Below are 18,996 nucleotides of genomic sequence, written 5' to 3' on the forward strand. Positions count from 1 at the left end.
CAGCAGCTTTCATGCAATCATAGTGGGAGGAATTAGTGTTATGGGAGAGCTGGATCAATCTTCAAATGTTTCATCTATGGAGATGGGAGGTCAGCACCGGCTGCTTGTTCAGCTGGAAAGTTAACATAAACAAATACTTCACTCACTGGGAGAGTCCAAGGGAAAGACATTTGATATTCCCCCTCTGAATACTTCCTCAGAAGGCACATGAAAGAGATAGTTGCTTCTTGAGAACTAAGTGGTCAACTGCTTGGCAAAATGTCTCATCTCGAAGAGCAAGGTGTTTGTTCTTTTAGTGTCTGGAAAGGAAAGGAGGTAGGGATGTGAACATTCACAGAATAGAATCCCTTCCTGTGTAATTCCTAACTTCATCGAAGTTGATATGGAAACCCTTTTAGCGGAGCTGGTTTTAATATATGAAGATATATTTTTTGATATCCAAATATGTTTTAAAGGTTTTTTTGTTTCGTTTTGTTTTTGAGACAGAGTCTCACTCTGTTGCCCAGGCTGGAGTGCAGTGGAGTAATCTCAGCTCATTACAACCTCCACCTCCCGGGTTCAAGCAATTCTCACGTCTCAGCCTCCTGAGTAGCTGGGATTACAGGCATGTGCCACCACGCCCAGCTAATTTTTTGTGTTTTTAGTAGAGATGGAGTTTCACTATGTTGGCCAGGATGGTCTCAAACTCCTGACCTCAGGTGATCCACCTACCTCAAGCTTCCCAAAGTGCTGGGATTACAGGCATGAGCCGCCGTGCCCAGCTTCATTTTAAAGTTTTTTAAGCTGTTGAAGTCTCCTTTGCCAAAAATAGAATGTGGAACTTTGTTTTTGTTTTGCACTTTATTCATAGAGCATATTCCATAGCCCATCTGATTGATTCAAAATGGGGTTAACAGTGAGAAATTAAGGACTGCAGATGGGATGTCTAAAAGAGAGCTAACAGGAGAGGCCTGGTAGGAGGAGGAGAGACAGGGACAAATGGAGGACGCTGGAAGATTAGCAGAGACCCCTGCTACTTCTAACAAAGTTGTTCTGCAAAAATAAAATAAAAAAATCTTAGAAAATGTTCTTCATGCCTACAACATAGCATGGATTAAGGAATTTGTGATCTCAGTATCTGTAAAGGTTAACTCAATATTTTCATTTTTCTTACAAGCATTGCATATGTGGGTATATGCAAATATATATACAGGCAAAAATGGAAAAGTATATCCACACACACAAATATATGACTGTGTGTGTGTGTGCACATATGTGTGCGCACAGGCATTTGAGCTTGAGTGCATGCACTCAAAAGAATACAGGAATAAAGGGACTATGACAGGAATACAGGAATAAAGGGACTATGATTAGCAGCACTGGGCCTCATTCCTGCCAAGCCCATCCCAAGGCCAAACTAGAGCCTATCATTTTAGATCTCGGGGAAATTAAGCAGACATAGACTTAAGAAAACACAGGCTGTGGTTAACTTTCCACTTCTTTCTACTAAGAGTGGATGACCAAGCATTTTTGCGACATCTAGTCCTCTGTTGCTATCCCTTAGTTAGCTCATGAGAAAATAAGGTGTAAAACTAAACTATCCAAGATATGAAGCCATCCCTGCCCAACTTAATGAGCAACTAACTAATCCAAAAGGAAAATAGCCATTACTTACACAGCCATAATGTAGATGCAACATGGCATATAAATCAGTAACTCTTGTATTGCAAAACAGACAAATAGATTAATGCATGTTGCAAAGGATGGGTGAAGAGATCGATTAGGTTACTGATTCAGACCGTGAACTTTCTCTCAATATACTGCATTTAACTTTTAAATAAGGTTTAGGAGAACCTGTAACATTTTGCTCACTGACAGAGCTATATTTTACTAAGGGAAGAAATTGGCTAGTCTATAAAAATTAAATTATGCCCCTTTCACTGTATCTAGTCAAGAGGAAAAACTCTAATTACAAGATTGCACTGTCAAACAAATGCAAATTCACATTCTTTATTCCCTGGTTTAAAAATTCATACTGGAGGGGGCTTCTATTCTGAAATGAAAATCAATATTTGAAATATTTTGCAGAGTGCAATGACAAGCAAGAGCAAAAGAAGTGTCATTATCAAGGGTGCTAGTAAATAGACACCAACTCATTAAGTGCAGAGCTAGTGAGAACAAGTCATTCATTATGCAAATATTTAAATATCAATTAGTAAGGACAATGAAAGAAGTTGAAATGAACCTTCCCTTCCCCACAGCCAGTACCTTATTATTCCAGAAATGACCAAAGGGAACAAGAGTGGTGGATAATAATCTCAGCACATAATAGCAATGTCACTCTGGGGAATAGGTAAAGGTTAATTTCAAACATACTTCCCAATGGAAAATTAAATGTACCTGCCTCAAAATTTTTAAGAGCTGAGTTTACAGACTTAGTCCAGAAAACTGAAGGCCTATGCATATTGCATGGCTGGTATTTTTTGGAAAGAGAACACCTTTCATTACTGCTTAATGTCAGACTGGCTTAGTTCATTAAATTTTCTTAGTCGATTTAAAGCCCTGGTTTTTCCACATCTATGAAAAAATGCAAGTCCACATAGCACTCAAACTTAAAAATCTCACTGGTTGCTTCCCAGATTCTTTTGACATCCACTTCATGGCCTGTCTACCTGGACTGTTAGGTGAACTTGGTGGATATGAAAAATGGCCTAAACTCTTTGAACTTTGCCTGGACTATCTTTTCAGGCAGACCTGGCAGGATATTTTACGACATGCTGGCTGTGTGGTATTACAGCAAAGGTGTTGGCCTGAGAAGCAGGCTTCAAGCGCCTCTTAGTAACAGTTGGCTGGTGAACTTGGACCAAGCATCTAATTTTCCTGGACCTTGCTTTCTTCCTCTGTAACACAAAAAGTTTTGTCCAGATCAGTTCTCAACTCGGGTCACCCCAGAATCATTGGGAAGTTTATAAAAGACCCATGGCCAGATATACCACAGACTATGAAATGGGCTTCTTTAAGCAGAGACCCAGGCATGTGGAGTTGAACAAAACTCCCAGCAAGATTCCAACATGCATCTTTAACTAGGAGTCACTGGGCTCTTTCAGCTCTAGTATGCTGAGATTCTCAGGACAACATATGTTATTGATCAAACTTGAAAGAAATTCTGACTTCAATTCTTAATAGCATCATTTAACAGGCATTACTTTCTCTGGAGAGGAGATGTTGACCATGTAATAGAATTACATGCTGACTGGCTGTGGCATGAGGAAACAAGATCCTGAAAGAGGACCACCAGATTTCACGAGATTCTATATGTGCAACCCACAGAAAAGAGTCAGATGCCTTGGGCGCTCAACAACAGTTAGCTCTTGTTAATATGATGATTATACTACAACTGTGTTCACTTAAAGTTTTAGGTTTGCTCTCTATCCTTATTGGCAAAAAATTAAATTGGTCCCTAATAAGTACATGGACATAAAAATGGAAGTGCTTTGGAGGTATAAGGCCCCCCTGGACATTGCTCTTTTGATGCAGAAACAGATCCGTTTGGCTTGTTTCTGTGGAGTTTAGGCTTAGAATGCCTTGCTTCCATGTGCACACACCCCGACCTAGCATCCTTCCCTTCAAAACTTTTTCCTTTGAGTTCATCGACTGCTTCTGTTTGTCAAACTTCACAATTGAAACTGCCTTATTACTTGATTCTGTCTCTACCTGTTGGGCTGTGACCTGTGGCCAGAGGGGCCTGGTTTGGAGACAAGGTACCTACCTTGTCTGAGCTTATAGAAAGCGAGCAACCTTAGGCCAGACACTTGAAGTCTGTGCTGAAGTTTCTGTGGATAAAATGGAAGTTAAAATGCCTGCTCTGCTTCTTTTACAGAGTGGTTTTGAGGACAGAATGAAGCAAGATGAAAAACAGCACTTTGAAAATGGAGTGTGTGGTATTCATCTTAGATACACTTTTAGAGAAGAAGAAATGTGTCTCAGAAAAAGGACCTCTTCTGACTCAAATTTAGCTTACATCCCCTTCTCAACCATATCCCAGGTGATAAAATATGACACCCAGGTAAGCAGTGGCCTTGTGGACTCTGAAGAAGTTCTTAACGTGTCCACGGCACATTCTCATTTTGTCTGGCTCTAAACTACTGTCTCAAGAAAGCTGCAAATATTTGAAAGTAACAATAAAGTGTTAACAGTAATTCTGACTAAAATCACAGCAGTCCCTCTGGTAGAAAGGCAGTAAATTCTTTGCTCAGGTAAAACGTAGGAAAGAAACACAAGTAGAAAAAAATCCCATTTGTTCAAATTATCCCTATCAATCTTAAGAATTATCGCCAAGTTTGTTTTGTTTTGCATCATTAATAGCCCAAATCCCACGTGCCAAAATAATGTTTACCGCATTTCTCGAGACAAGTTACCCTTGAGAGCCAGTATGTCTGAGGCTTCCCAGAAGAGTGATTTTGGTGCAACAAATAATGACCTATACAAACCAGCCCTTACAACTGCACACACACCACAACACAACACAGTGTCAAGCTAACATCTGCTTTCCAAATAACCATGAGGATAGCAATATGACATTTCCAGGCCCTTCTCTGAGAAGAAACGACTTTCCCAAGGTGTTGGCTTTGAAACTAGAGTCCTTGCATTGATTTGCCAGCGGGTAAAGGGAATCATATAACAGTTCTAATCACTTCACCGGGCTCTGCAGGCAGTTCACAGAACTAAAGGAAGTGGGGGCTTTGGTTCATTCACTATCAGCCATCAAGTTATGCTATTTCCCATCCTTTTAATATCCTTAAAATGGCAAGGTCTGTGTTTATGGTTTTGACCTTGAAACTGAAGTAACAGCTCTACCTATTCTCCCAAAGTTCCAGATATACTTTGGGGAACTTTGACTTCTGATAAGACAGCTGGGGTAGGGGGTGAGGAGAGGGTTGGAAAGTTCTACCTCAGTGAGAAGATTCTTGGTCAACTAGAGGGAGTGAGGGCTATCCCACAAGACCTCCCCTTCCCCCACAGGATGCTCAGGACTTCTTCTCAGCTAGCCAGCAGCTAAGCTGGTAGGGCTGAGAACGGCATTCCTTTGAAAGATCTTGGCAATTTGTGCCTGGAAGTTGATGCATTAGTTCTAAAATTAAACAAAGATCCTGTAGTGTTCTTCAAGGAAATATGGTGTGCCTCTATGACAAAACACATTTTTCAAGCTCTGACCTCTGGGAGCTTCAACTAGCTCCATATTTCAGGCTGACAATGCTCACAGGCTACTGTCTAGTTGCCCAAGCCAGGGCTGGTTAGCCATATATTTTCTACCTCCATCAGCTTTTAGCATAGGGAGGTGAAGGGAGTAAATAAAAAGAGGAGAGCCACTAATTTACATGCACTTCCCCTCCCAAGACCCTTGGGGAGAAGCCTTGGTAATTAACTCTAATGAGATTAAAGTAACTTGGAACTCTTCATTTTCCCAGCACTGTAAAACTAAATCTGCGATAACCAGTGTGTGGGCATTAAATCAAAGTCAGTCCTTTTTCCTGCTATTTAATGGCCCCCTCACTCCCACCCCACAGCCCAGGCTTAAGAGCGAGGGGGAGGGCTGCCAGGCTCTTACCGGCACTTTGCTCCATCACTTCTTTCTGACACATGTCTTGAACGTTCACCGTGCAATTCACAATGAACTCGGGGGAGGAGCAGTCGTTGTTCAGCTGGAATTCTTCACACTGGTAGCACTGGATTTGCAGCGCAAAGCCTGCGAGACAGACGCAGTCGGGTTCAGATCCGGCCCCCACAGAGCCCACCCCGGAAATCACGACCATCCCACGCCTCAGAGCCAGGCGGCTCCCAGCCTCTGGCAGGCTTAGACCACTCCTGGGTCTCCGGGTAGGGCTGGATGTGGCTGACACCGGCAGGGGGCGGCGCGGGTACCTAGGGTCCTACGGAAGAAAGTGGAATAGTGCCCGCCACCCCTGGACCCCGGCTCTAGACACAAAGCGCCCATCCATTACCACCCCAGGCCTTTTCCCAAGAAGTTGAAGGGAGGGTGGGGACGGTACCACCGCAAGAGTGAAGTAGCTCTGGAGATGTGCGTTAGCTCCAGCCTAAGCCAAAGGATTTGCCTAATTGCTAATTGGTTACAAATTACTTAATTACTATTTTGGCACCATTCGTGATTACATTCGCAGACGTCTTTTTAGTTTTTATTTATTTAATTTTTAAAGTCAGCGTTTCTGTGCCAGGGCTCTGAGGATCCCTGAGCGACCACCTGGGAACAACTTGGGTGGAGGTGCCAGACGCCAAGCGCTGCTGCGCCGCAAGTCCCCGAGCCCGGGTCGGCGGCCCTTCTCCGGGGCCGTCCCCGCGGCGACCCGAATGGCCACAGAGGGTGGGAAAGGGCGTTTGTGAGCGCGCGCACCCTGGATCCCCGACCCCGCAGCCCTTTCTTCCAGGCCCCGGCTTTCAGGACAACCGTTCGACTAGGGTCAGTGGTCGGGGTTCCAGCTCTGCAGAGCTTAGTCGGGAGCCAGTAGGCGAACTGGAGAGAGGACGCGAGACCTTTGCGCCTCTGGACGCTTCGGCCTGGCTGTTCTCGGTGTACGCGCTCCTGTCTAGACCCAACTACCCACGCTCCCGCAGCCCCACATCTATCGCACTCTGAGCGCAGCAACCCAGCTTCAGCGTGGCCGCAGGCTGCCTCGCGCATCGCTCACCTGTCGGCGGCGCCACTCCCACGGGGTGCCGGAGGCGCCAGACAACTTGGCAGGGTTCGGGAGATGTCGCCCCCTCTCCCTCGCCCAGAACCCAGCACCGCTCGGACCCTCCCTCCTCTCAAGCCCAGCTTCTCCCGACGGTGCAGCCGGACAAGCTGCAGCCCGGAGTCCCGCAAACCCGCCGCTCCCCGCTCTCCTCCTGCAGCGCGGGACTTGGACACTTTCCCAGCCTCGCGCCCCGGGGCACCAGTCGCGGCCGCCAACTCCCGCTGGGCAGCCCCAGCGCAGGGCTGGCCCCGAGGTGGGCGCCTTGGGGGCAAAAGGGCTGGCGGGTAGATGGATTGTGCGCACCTGGCCTCGGCTGCTGGCCTCTGGGTATTCTCACCTGGAAGCAAGAACAATCCGCAAAAAGTTGCCGCGATGCCTAGGACCCACATTCTCCCGGAGTCCCGGGGCCGGGAGAGGGCAAGCGCATCAGAGGAGGCGACAGCAGCGGAGGCTGCCCCGGCTGCAGCGGCTGTGGCTGCCGAGGCTGCTGGGGCCCGCGCTGCTGCCGCGGAGACGACGGTCGTAGCTTAGAGGAGCCGCAGGTGCCGCTCGCGGAGCCTGCATCGCCCGCGCTCGGGCTCCCGGCTGCGGGTCTCTGCTCCTCCCGCTCGCGCTCCCGGGCCGAGCACCGCGCCTCCGGAGTTGGCGGCTGAGACTGAAGGAACTACTGGCGATCGGGAGCACCCACAAAAGTCTCGCCTTTTCTCCCCACCTCCCACTCCAGGCATCACGTGACGGCTGCCGAGTTGGGGTGGGGGTGGCGGGCGGGGAAGGCTGGGACGGTCGCTTCACATCCCCACCCCCTTCCTGTCTTCCTCTTCTCCCGCCTCCGCACGTTCCTGGGAAAGGGGCGCCGGGGGGCGGGAGAGAACTGGTAGTTTTCTGAGATGGGGAGGTTGGGGGAGCGGCGAGGAGGGCGCAGCAGGTGCCGTGGGGACCTGCCGGGTGCGGACTAGGGTCTGAGGACTGCGTGCCCGGCTGGCCCTTCGCACATAGGAAGGCAGCCTCCCCACTCCACGTCCTCTGCGCCTTCCAGGACTGGTCGGTACCCCAGCGACTGGGTCCAGCCCACACAACTGAGGCTGTCCCGCTGCGGGCCGCGGGAGCCTGGCGCCCCGGGAGGCTGACAGGAAGGGCGCGCGTTCCCGTGCGCCTGGCAAAGTTCCACGCCCGCAGGCTCCGTAGGGTGTCCTGTGCAGCTGTGCCCCCTCTTCCTCCGCGAAGGCCTTCTGTCAAGAACCAGCTCGGCGTGGCCAATCTGGGTGGGGGTGTGGTGGGGACACTGCCTTAACTGTCTCACTTGCCCGGGCCGCCCTCCCTTCTCCCGCCTGCGCGCACCGCTGGAGGGTGCATTGACACCGCCCTGGTCGCCTAGCCTAGGAGAACGCCGTCCCGGGGACACCTGCCGTGAGGTCCTACCAGAAAGCAAATCAGGGTGAGGAAGAGGGTTGTTCTCCTCCATTCCTTGTCTCCCAAACGCCAGCCGGCTCCATTCTGCTTTCCCCAAAGCCACCGATTATTAGCACATACTCCCACGTCCTCTCCTGAAAGGCCATCCCAGCCTCGGACTCGGCCTCTGGCTGCTCCCCACACCCCTCAAATTCGTCTTCTTTCCGCAAAGTCCAAGTGACCCACCTTGCGGACTCCCGGGGATGCCCCGGTGCTATCTTCGCCTTCCTTCCCGAGCCTTGCAGCAGGTGGTGCGGGAGACCGCTTGCCCGCCGGAGTGCGTTGGTGCCCCCGCCCCCAATCCGCACATTCCCATCCCCTTTCCGCACATCCTTAGGGAGCATCCATTTCCGTGGAAATCGCCTCCTAAGCTTTAGCTCCTCTTCACCCTTTTCTCCCCCGGCCACTTCTGGGGGCAGCTCTCTCACGCCGGGACGCTGATCATTTATTTCTGCATCCTCCCAGCAGAGCTGGTCTGTAAAGGGGCTTAAATGACTTTCTTTGTAATTCCTCTGCAGAGATCGTTCCATATCTGCCTCAGGCTCCTTCTCTCCCTCCCTCCCTCCCTCTCCCCCTTCTTTCATTTCTATTTGGTTAACCCCTCGGGGAGACTGAAATGCTTTGACCATTACTCACCTGTCTGCAGACTCTGATCTTACAATTGGCTAAATTACTATCTCTGGAGCAAAAGGGCCAATTTATTTATTCCTTCTGGGAACCCATTGTAAGAGCACGTGTGAGTCATGATTCAAGTAACTGACTGGGCCAAAAGGTCCTTGAGCAAGTTATTTTCTGTTTTCAGAGGGTGCAAATGTGATATAACTTTTATTCAGAAAGGAAACAAAAAGATTTTTTAAAGTCTGAAAGACAAGGACATTTTACATAATTTTCATTTAAGATAAAATAAAACAAATTGCACAAATTAACCAAATAACACTGATCATACAATACTCTTTAAAGAAACAATTATGTGCTAAAGTAGCCATATAGATCCTAAAAATATTTCTATTGGGCCTAGTTTACAAGCTCCTGTACATAAGTAATTATAAATAGTTCACATCTAGAAAAAATACACATAACCTTTAAAATAGAATTTATCCTTACATATAAACAGTCTTTGTAGAAAAAAAAGGATATTAAAAAGAATTCTTCGTAGCACCATTAATTTTATTTTTAAAAGTGAACATTGCAAATAGAAATTTGTTTTCATTTTTAGAGTGCCCAGATTTTAATAAAAAGAGCAAGAAGATAAAAATCAAATAATATTCAGGATCATAGAGAAGCACTAAGTAAAAGACAATCTAAAGAAATGTCTGGAAGGAAAAACTGGTATTGGGAATAGAATTCGGTCATTTCTGATACAATGTCACACTCCCAATCAGTGTCCACACTTCAGGACCCTTTTCATTTTTCAGCAGAAGCAGAATGACACTTATTACTATCACCTGAATCTCTGGCAACGAATCTGAAATTACACTAAAATGAACATTTCCATCAAATTGAGATTTGTGAGATGGAGATGAGGAGGAACCCTCCGATTTTTTGGCAGGCCCTGTTGTAGGTTTACAGAGTGTACCCACAAACAATTTGAGGACCAGGACAACGAACTTCACAAAAACTTCAGTTGGGATTTTAAAAAATATATATTATCATCAACTTCTAAGACTTAGTACATTATTTCAAGAGCATGGCACTGATTCCATTTATTGCTGTCTTTTTTTGCTACAAATATAATTTCTCTTCCAAAAAATTTACAACTTCTGTACAAATATTCAAAAAAAGTGCAAAATTAAGGATTCTGTATCATAGATGTGTTTACGCTTAATCCTCTTGAAACACAATAAATGGAGTCTATCTTTATTGCCCTGTCAGAGAAATAAGCTCTGGTGGGTTGCCTGCTGTGAATTTGACAAGGAAGGCTCTGGTACTGCAATAGTTTATTGTTATCTCTATCAAGCGGTGCACCCCCCACCCCCCACCCATCATTTCTTAAGCGCTCCAGTCCCAGCTCACTAAGGGAAGAGATGTCCTTTATACATCATTTGAACCTTGACTGGCACAGGAAGAGAAGCTATCATATAAAGAATCACTCAAAGATTCCAAGTTGTCTACCCCAGGCCTATCTGAACTACTCAAAGATGTCTCTTCATTTTTTTCTTTTTCTTCCTTCTGTCCTTCAACCTTGTTCAGAGAGTTCTTCTCTTTTTCTAATAAAATCACAGTATTGCTGTTAAATTTATTGAATGACTCTAGGGAAATTTTCGATAATCTATTCTCGGGATCGTCTTTTGTTTCTTCAAGTTGTCTCAATTTCTGCAATAAAAAGAAGAAAATATTAGAAACATATTTCTTTGGAAAATCAAGTTATCCTATCTAATATTCAATTATTGTCTGTATAAAGTACAGTTTAAAGGGACAGAGAAAACCTACAAGTCTTTAATAATCTTCTAGTATAATTAGATGTAATAATAAAGCCAATTTTAGGGATAAATCAGGACTTTAATCATTTTACTGAGATAAATAGGTCCCAATTTGCAAATTAAGTGCCACTTAATTTCATTTTAAATGGATCCATTTGAAATTTGTTCAGGTAAAGTGCCTTATTTTTCTTCATCAAAGTTTCAAACTCCTCTCTTTCCTTGCTAAGTATTAGCTGTACTTTTTCTAAATATGAGTAGGTATTGAATTTCAGCCAGAAGTTATGGTAATATGTTTTTTTCTAATAAAAAAAAGACATAAAAATCCCCTAACTTGCCATTTTTGAATACATGTTAAGCTTGTTAGAAGCATTGCCATTTTAGTATTTTGTCCCTTTATAGGACTTAAGATATTTGAAAGAGATCTCCAGGTTTTTGGGTGTAGATCCCAGAAGGCCCAAGGGCTTAAAAATTAAAGCGGCAGGTGAACAGCTGAGTAACCCCTCTGCTCCAGAAGGTCTAGTAATACCAGTTTATACTGGGATATTACTGTTATTAATACCCTGTATGATGTATAAAGCACTGCACCAAATTCAATAATTATCATAGGTAAACCCTGTAAACATGAATATATTCGGTTGCTCAGTTGGCTCCTAAGGGCTAAGGTGAGGACAGAGGGAGGCACACTTGCGAAAAACAATGAGAAAAACAGACATGTAAAAGTGTCTACAATATTTCTCATCTTCTTTTCCTCTTTCCAGCAGAAATTCCATCCAAACACAGGAAAGAAGCAGGCCCGGGGGCTTGGAGATGATAGTAAGTGTTACCATTTATTAAGCATCCACTAGGTAAAAGACACTTAACAGATTCTATCAGCTTTTTCACAAACCTACAAGGTAAACGACCCCATTTTAAAGAGAAGGTATGCAAGGCTCAGAGTGACAGAGATATTTGCCCAAGGTTGCCCAGCAAGTGGCAGAGAACAGGATTTGAATTTCTGTCTGGCTGCCTTCCATGCTCTTGTTCTTTCCATTAAACCATGTTCTTAGGTAATAAAGGACACAATGTCCTGTTTTCCATTTTGTTACCCAAAAATTCCACTTAAATAACTTGCCAAACCGTCTCTAACATGTGCAGTTCTGCTGTGCACCATGCTCCCCACCCCCAACATTGTTATGCTGGACTCAACAAGGTTGCAATGAGGAAACTGTCTTTTGATTGGGAAAATAGATATAGCCAAAGCTTATGGATTCTCACATGCTAATGTGAAGAATGGAAAGAGAAGAGAGAGATGGAAGTGGATGGCTTCTGTGTTCCAAGAGCAGACACGGGCAGAATTTCTCTGCTATAGGAAATGGTATAATTCTATGGGAATATTTGAAAATCATCCTAGATCTAGTGCTTATTTCATTATACTACTAACGTGCAGAAACATTACTCACAGAGCTAATTTTCAATCACACACAGCTACCCTGAAACCAGAGGCGGGCTAAGGAACAGACTCCTAGCTGATTACAGAAAAGTGGCTCCATAATTAGAAATAACTCCATCCAAGGGCCCCTTTCAACACCATGCCAATTTGCCTACATTTACCAAATGGATGTAAATAAATGGCATTCAATGCAATTTTCTCTTTACCTGGATGTCTTCTCCATTTTTCTTCATTTAAGAACCACAAGTATTTTTCTTGCCTATTTCTCATCTATGTGGATCTCAAATTCATTCAACACACACTCATTAGAGAAGCTACTGCAAGGCAGGCTGAAGGCTTTGGTACTGAAGATACACAGCTGAATAAAATTGTGTCCTGCAGGGTGATCATTGAGGCCCTGAGGGCAGACAGGCTGAGCTTCGATTTCAGCTTGGCCCTTTCACGGGCTGAGTGCTACAAGCATCCTTCTTCAGGTGTAAAATGGTGATAAGATACATCTTTATTTCAGGACTGCAATAAGTATTAGAAATAAAGAACTTTAAAGCTCTGGCAGACAGTAGTGGGTGTGCAATAAATGTAAGGCTGGATTCTTATTCTAGAATGGTGGTTCTCAAAGTGTGTTCCCCAGACCAACAACGTCAACAACACCAAGGAGCTTCCTGGAAATGCAAGTTCTTGGATCCCACCTAGACCTACTACACCAGAAACTCTGAGGGCCAGCAATCAGTTTTTAACAAGATTACCAGGTGATTCTGATACATACTGAAATTTGAGACCCACTGGTCTAGAAGAACATGACCCCTGGAGGGAAGACAGACAGGTGGAAATCATAATTCGTTGTGAAATGGTGGAATTTGGGAAGAGTTAATTGCCATTAAAACACTCACTGTCATCAGGTTTTCAAATGTTTCAGGCTTACAGATTTGTTGCTTCAGTTAATTATAACAAAGACCTACACTGGCCAGAGAGGTTATAGAAATGAAAGAAGGGACCATTATTTAAAAAAAAAAAAAAGCAAACAAGAAACATGAACTTCTCGGGTTTCCTTTTATTTTTACAGTTTTGATGAAAAGTGACTGCAGACATATTACTTGACTGTAAAAACAACATCCATGCAAAAGTGACCATATGGACCAACTAGCATTCAGTCTCTAGGCAGAGCAGCCATAAGGAGTGGTGAGGGCTGCAGTCAGCTCAGGAGTATGTGCTGGATCTAAAGGTGGTAGCAGCTACTTAGATCTAGCTATGCAGAAATGTGGGTGCAGATCTTTCGATTTCAAAGATGAGGAGATACATCTAGATCAATATTTGCTTATATTTAAAATTCACTTACTTTTAATTCTTGGCTCACATTTAAAGAAAATAACAAAATACCCAGTATGTATACCGAATTGCAATCTTTGCACTGTTTGAGTTTCTGAGCTAGGGATGTTGTTTTATCCTTTTTTTTTTTTTTTTTTTTTTTTTTTTGCAGTGTCCTACTTCACCTCATCCACTCCCCTATTTCCCTTCCCCCAGCTTTCTTTTTGAAGGCCTAGTCCAATGCTACATCATCAGTAGTTTCTCAGTGGAGACTTTGCCTAGGATCAGAAGAGTCTTAACTATGAGTCTGGGCTCCTCAAGTGGTGCTGCCAGCTACGAATAAAAACACTGAAGTGGCTTACTTTTCTGCCTATAGGAGCATACCGAACCTCAACATTGTCTTGTCAGATCTCAGATATTTTTAAAATTTTGTAGTTGAATAACATTTAGATTTAACATATAAGGAGGGATTGAGGTGAAACAATAATGTGTTAATGATCTATCTGGCAAATGACAACAAAATAGTGCACATTAGTTTGCAGCAACTATACGTGAAAGTGCTTTGCAAACTAATCATGGTAATAACAGTTACCATTTAACAGTGTGTGTTCTGTACAGACACTCTGCTAAGCATAGTGCATAGATTATATGTTTCCATCCTCACATGAATTCTACAGGGTAGGTGCCATTAGTATCTCCATTTATAGGCAATCAAGGCTTGAGGAAGGTAAGTAACTTGTTTAAATTCCTGTAGCAGTATGGGATGGACTTTGGATTTAGAGCTAGGCAGTGTGCCTGCAGAGATGAAGCTCTCAACTTTCATCTTGGAAAACTACTTTATGAATATTAGCCAATATTATCTTTAAGGGAAGCATCTGAAATAGCAATTACAGAACAAAAACAATAATGATAGACCCGGTGAAGATTAGTGTTTGATGAGAATTGTGTAGGTTCCATAAAACATCGCCAATTCCTTCCTGTGTTGTGCTTCATCAGAATTATGATAAAATTAATATACTACATTTGTCACCTATAGGTGGCAACAGTTGTACAGATGACTTTTTGGTGGATTTTTTTTTCAACTACACTTGGGAATAAAAGTAGGGCTAAACAGACAAGATGCAAATACATTTTCAAGCTTAAATAAATAGCTTTGCATGTTCTTAAAATATTTTCCTGCCTTTAGTGTAACCATGGAATTATTAGTGATAATTCAAGCAAGAAGTGTATAGTGGCATATTCTCCAGAAATCTCTTGAGAATTAGACCTTTATTAATTTAATTCCTTGTAGTCAAGCAGTCATTCAATCAAACTAATCTACTATGTGACCAGCTTTGTGCAAACAGTCTTGTGGTCTTGATTCTCAGAGGAAGTTTTATAGAAAAGGGTGCTCTTGGAATGGTTTTGAAGGGCAAATAGGATTGAAATACACAGTAAGGAGGAGGGAGGGAATTCCAATAAATATTCATCTATTATGCCTCTATTGCAACTGTGCAACACTGTGTAGTCTACTTCAGGACCATGAGTTGCCCAGAGGGTCTCTCCCTTTGGGGATTCTGTAGTAGACAATCACTATAAAGACAGAAATTGAGACGTGCCTACCCCAAGAGGTTCTAGGAAACTCAACCAGACTCATGAAAGTATCAGCCCGTACATGGGTTATAAAAAGTTTTGACTTCCAAACTGCGTTCTAATCTATGACTCACTTTGCTCTTCCATCAGCCTGGAAGGTGAGGAAGGCCAGAGTCAGCTATACTTTCCACGCGATATTTATGGAATCTGTGATTCACACAGATTCAAATCCAAGTGAAATTAGACCTTAAAACTTAGTTTTCTGATTTTTCACACAAAAATTCACAGTAGTTTTTTTTATAGTTCACAATAGTCATGAAGTAGAGATTTTTGACTAGAACAATATCCTGAATACCAAGGATAAAATTGGAGGAGATATGGACCCTTGCCATAATGAAGAGGTGGAAAATATGTACGGTGATACAGAAAAACTCAAGTGATAAACCAGCAAAAAATATATGCATGATGGTATCAGCTTCAAAGAGATACATGTTATGTGTGTACAGCCAGAAACTCCTGTTCATGGTAGAGGAGAACAAATAGCAAATTTATGAAATAGTGCAATCAATTATTGTTCTATGATAAATGCTACTCTTTCATTATTTCAAATACATTTCCATCCTTTGATTATGTCTTAAAAATATTGGTTAGTATATCTAGTGTCAGGAAGAGATCCAATCTATTTGTGAAATTCAAACACAGCATTGTTCCTCAGCTGGGCACTAACATTTATAATGAGGATTGGAGCTCTTAGCACAAGTTAATGCAAACAGGACTTTAATCAACATAATTTCTTATTTCTCTATTGCTATAGAGATTCACTGCCCATGGATCAAGAAAATATGTGGTAGGAAAATAGCCCTATTTATAAAGTGTTTTTACTATGAGTCAGGTACTGGGTTGAATGCACTGCATGAAATACCTCATTTAATCCTGACAGCAAGCCTATGAGATAGCACTATTATCATCCCCATTATACAAATGAGAAAATGCAGATAGCGAGGTCTAAATGTTAGTCCACATATATGTGGCTAATAAGTTAGGCAATCAGGATTTGAGCAGAAACAGCCTGACTACAGGACTTGGGATCTTAATCACTGTGTATTACCCCAGGTTTTTAAAAACCAGCGTGCAACTCCTGGCTTTGTGCTAATTAGCTGTGTAAGCCCTCTGACCCTTAGTTTCTTTACATTAAAGGTTTTTTTGAATCTTCCCAGTCTATAAAGCTCTGTGACTCTAAAATATTCTTAATTGGATATCTTCTGGGCGTCTATTATTGGAATTTGAGGTGGCACAATAACCAACCCTAACACCCCCTTCCCTACTTTAGTTCTCAATGACTTAAAAAAATAAAAGAAAAAGGCTGACGGGAGGCCAAAAGATCAGCTTTACTAAGAGAAAGTTTGATTGGAGAACAAGGTTTCCATCTGTAAAGAAGTGGGTTTCCTAACACTGATCCCAAGATATAGACAAGCTTAGTAATTAGCAGCCCTGGGCTGGGAAACAAGTGTCTTCCTGTAAAAACTACAGCATGAAGGAACAGAACAGAAATTTGTGCTTCTGACAGTCTGATTCCAGAGGGAGACTAGGAAGAGCAAGAAGTTCCCTTCCTGAACTTGCTAGGCAAGTCAGTCCCTCATTCCCTGGGAGAAGTGAATAAGGGGGGCCCAGAGACTCCAGGAGGGTTACCCTAGGAAGCTCCTTCCATGTTTTTCTCAAACAAAAGAATGTTTGAGAAGAAGGTGTCCAAGGTGTCCCCTACTACCACCCAACATCTCTGATTACATATGATGCAGATTTTAACTAGACAGTCATATATGGATGAAGGCCAAGAAGATGCTGGAAAATTCTGGTGCTGCAGGGAGTTAGTTTGCACAGAGAAGTGTCTCCATGGGCAAAGAAATAGGAAGATGGTGATCCAGCAGGTGTGAAAGATGGCAGAGCTTCCATTTGGAAGCAAATAAATGAAGTCTAAGAGACGGTCTGTTTAATCAAGGGTTTTGGGCTGAAGCTGAACATGTGATTTACCCCATCCCTTTTCTGATGAACAAATCTTGAGCACTGGGAAGATGGATTCAGGGAAGAGTTTTATGTTATGTTCTTGTTGTGGGAATGGTGAGGAGGTATTTTAAGCCAAGGTCTCTTAGTTGAAGATTTGTGCACATCTCAAAGTCTATGTTAAGTGCTATTTGCGAAGGGCAGGCCAACCTCAAGGGAAAAGATGCAACTCAAGTCATTTCTCTTTTCTCAGAGGCACTAGTTAATCACTTCCTTAATGCCGCCTCTTACTGCATTCCTGGTGAAGCTACTTTCTAGATGAGACATAAAAATAGATAGAATGACCTTTGGTGATCACTAGAGACCCCTCCACACTTTTCTCAAGAGTTGTGATATTAACCCTGTTAACCTGGTCAAATTTCAACTTGGATATTACTTTCTCCCGGTGCTCGGTTCCCTCTATTACCTCAACTGGACACATTACTCTTGACTTGCCCTTCTGAAAAATTAAAGTGACGCATTGGTAATAGAGAACCACTCTCTCCCTCCAACCACACTCACGGAGATGTGATTTGGCACTTGGGGGCACTCTGTTTTCTTACTGGGGTCCTAGAGATTCTTCAGTATCCTCAGGGCAAACAGATTTTATTAGGTGAAAGAGTAATTTTCAGCAGAGATGTGCTTTTATGACTATATTAACTATACTGCTGTCCTTTACTGTGATCGATGGTCCTCAATGACCTCTCCTTGAACCCCTAAACCCAGAGGGGGGAAATAAACTCACTTTTTGAGAAAAAGAGCAAGCAAAGAGAAGGTCAGTGGGAAGCTTAGGGTTGTTAGAAAATAATACACCTTGTGGAAAGGAAAAGGATGCATTTTGAAGATAAACAATGGCTACAAAGGACATTTAAACACCAGATCAAGAGTACTGAAGGAAAGAGAAGTCATTTCATCAGTGATAAGAAACATCCCCATATATGGAAAACGGGGGAAAGATGGGAGGGGATGTCCCTTAGTAGGAAGATAAAGTAGCAGGAAGAAAACCGCAAATTTGCTTATGGCACAGAAAGGCATCTGGGAAGAGGAAAGGCATGTAAGTTGGGATAAAATTGTTATAAGAAACACATTTGTGATTTCTGCAAACTCTGATGTTAGCGTCATCATTTCCAATGCCCATTTGAAAATTTGGATTTTCTGTTTTCCAGGGGGGAACAGATCCACAAAGACAATTTAAAACGTAGGTTGACTGCCTTTAATAATGCTTCCGATTTGATGAGTTGTGGTCAATTTCTCCAAAAGTAAAATGTGCACTATTTTCTGATGATCCAGAATTGGGCAAACAAGACAGCTCATTGCTATCAGCCTGTGTAAACAGCTTAACTAAATGGAACATGTTTCTCGGTGTTGTTAGATTCCTTTTTCTTCTAGCACAGTAATATTAATTAAACAATTTATGCAGGAATGATAATTGAGCAGTTCCTGAGATGAGAACTTCTAAATCTACTCAAGTAAGGTTAAGAATTTCAGCTGACAAGAGTTAGGGCATCAAGATTTTCTGCTTTTCATTTATGTATACCATATGAGTAAAAATAAATATACATACTACTCACTTGACTTAAAAGACTGATTAGCCTTTTTTTTTTTTTAACTACCCTTTGCATCGTTTTATGTCTTAAATATGTCTTAAAGCCTGTTCAGCAAGCCGGGCCATGGCAGGCTTAGGTGTCACTGTGCTTGTAGCATAAAAAGTCCGTGAACTTTTGTCAGATGAAAATGCAGCATTTACTTATGTATTATAACATCACAGTGCTATGTTTTCATTTTGGAGTGATAGATTTTTTACTGTTTGTAAAAGAAAAAAATAATTTTTTTGTGTGGATCAGGTGAATATAAAAAAAGCTTATACTACTATTTTTCCCATGGAAGTTCCCCTTCCAAAAGAAAATCTCCAATACCATTGGAGATGGGTGGACATCATAGAATTATACCTGAAATTGCTAAGTTTTTATGAGGTATGCGGCGAGTGCCAAAGCTAGGGAAAAACATTTTATGTTATTCATTAACCTATATAAATAACTAGATGACCTGGAATTAC

At 42.8% G+C, this 18,996-nt stretch overlaps 2 protein-coding genes across 23 annotated transcripts in view, besides 1 other annotated feature; both read right to left on the minus strand.

Moving 5' to 3' along the window:
• The window catches only part of LYPD1 (LY6/PLAUR domain containing 1), a 28,241-nt gene extending 19,527 nt beyond the window's left edge, over positions 1-8,714 (minus strand). Inside the window, exons 1-3 of one of the 4 annotated variants that reach the window (NM_001321234.2) lie at positions 7,235-7,393; positions 7,069-7,107; positions 5,588-5,725 (exon numbers count right to left, since the gene is read on the minus strand). In NM_001321234.2, the coding sequence (NP_001308163.1) occupies positions 5,588-5,725; positions 7,069-7,107; positions 7,235-7,295 (238 nt within the window). In that variant the 5' untranslated portion in view covers positions 7,296-7,393. Of the gene's footprint in view, positions 1-5,587; positions 5,726-7,034; positions 7,394-8,366 lie in introns of those variants that run through there. The other 3 variants (NM_001077427.4, NM_144586.7, NM_001321235.2) reach the window with 3 other exon arrangements.
• Positions 6,256-7,219: an enhancer, noted in NCBI's record as "H3K4me1 hESC enhancer chr2:133426641-133427604 (GRCh37/hg19 assembly coordinates)". NCBI's record gives its function as "activates a minimal SCP1, AML or CMV promoter by ChIP-STARR-seq in naive H9 embryonic stem cells {active_cell/tissue: H9 hESC(naive)}" and the evidence as "EXISTENCE:reporter gene assay evidence [ECO:0000049][PMID:30033119]".
• A 261-nt stretch (positions 8,715-8,975) lies between the features above and the next one.
• The window catches only part of NCKAP5 (NCK associated protein 5), a 1,003,049-nt gene continuing 993,028 nt past the window's right edge, over positions 8,976-18,996 (minus strand). For all 19 annotated transcript variants that reach the window (XM_017003975.3, XM_011511100.4, XM_047444134.1 and 16 more), the window contains one exon: positions 8,976-10,493. In XM_017003975.3, the coding sequence (XP_016859464.1) occupies positions 10,212-10,493 (282 nt within the window). In that variant the 3' untranslated portion in view covers positions 8,976-10,211. The remainder of the gene's footprint in view (positions 10,494-18,996) is intronic.

The sequence above is a fragment of the Homo sapiens genome, chromosome 2 (genome assembly GCF_000001405.40).
Source record: "Homo sapiens chromosome 2, GRCh38.p14 Primary Assembly".
In the NCBI taxonomy this organism is placed as follows: Eukaryota; Metazoa; Chordata; class Mammalia; order Primates; family Hominidae; genus Homo; species Homo sapiens.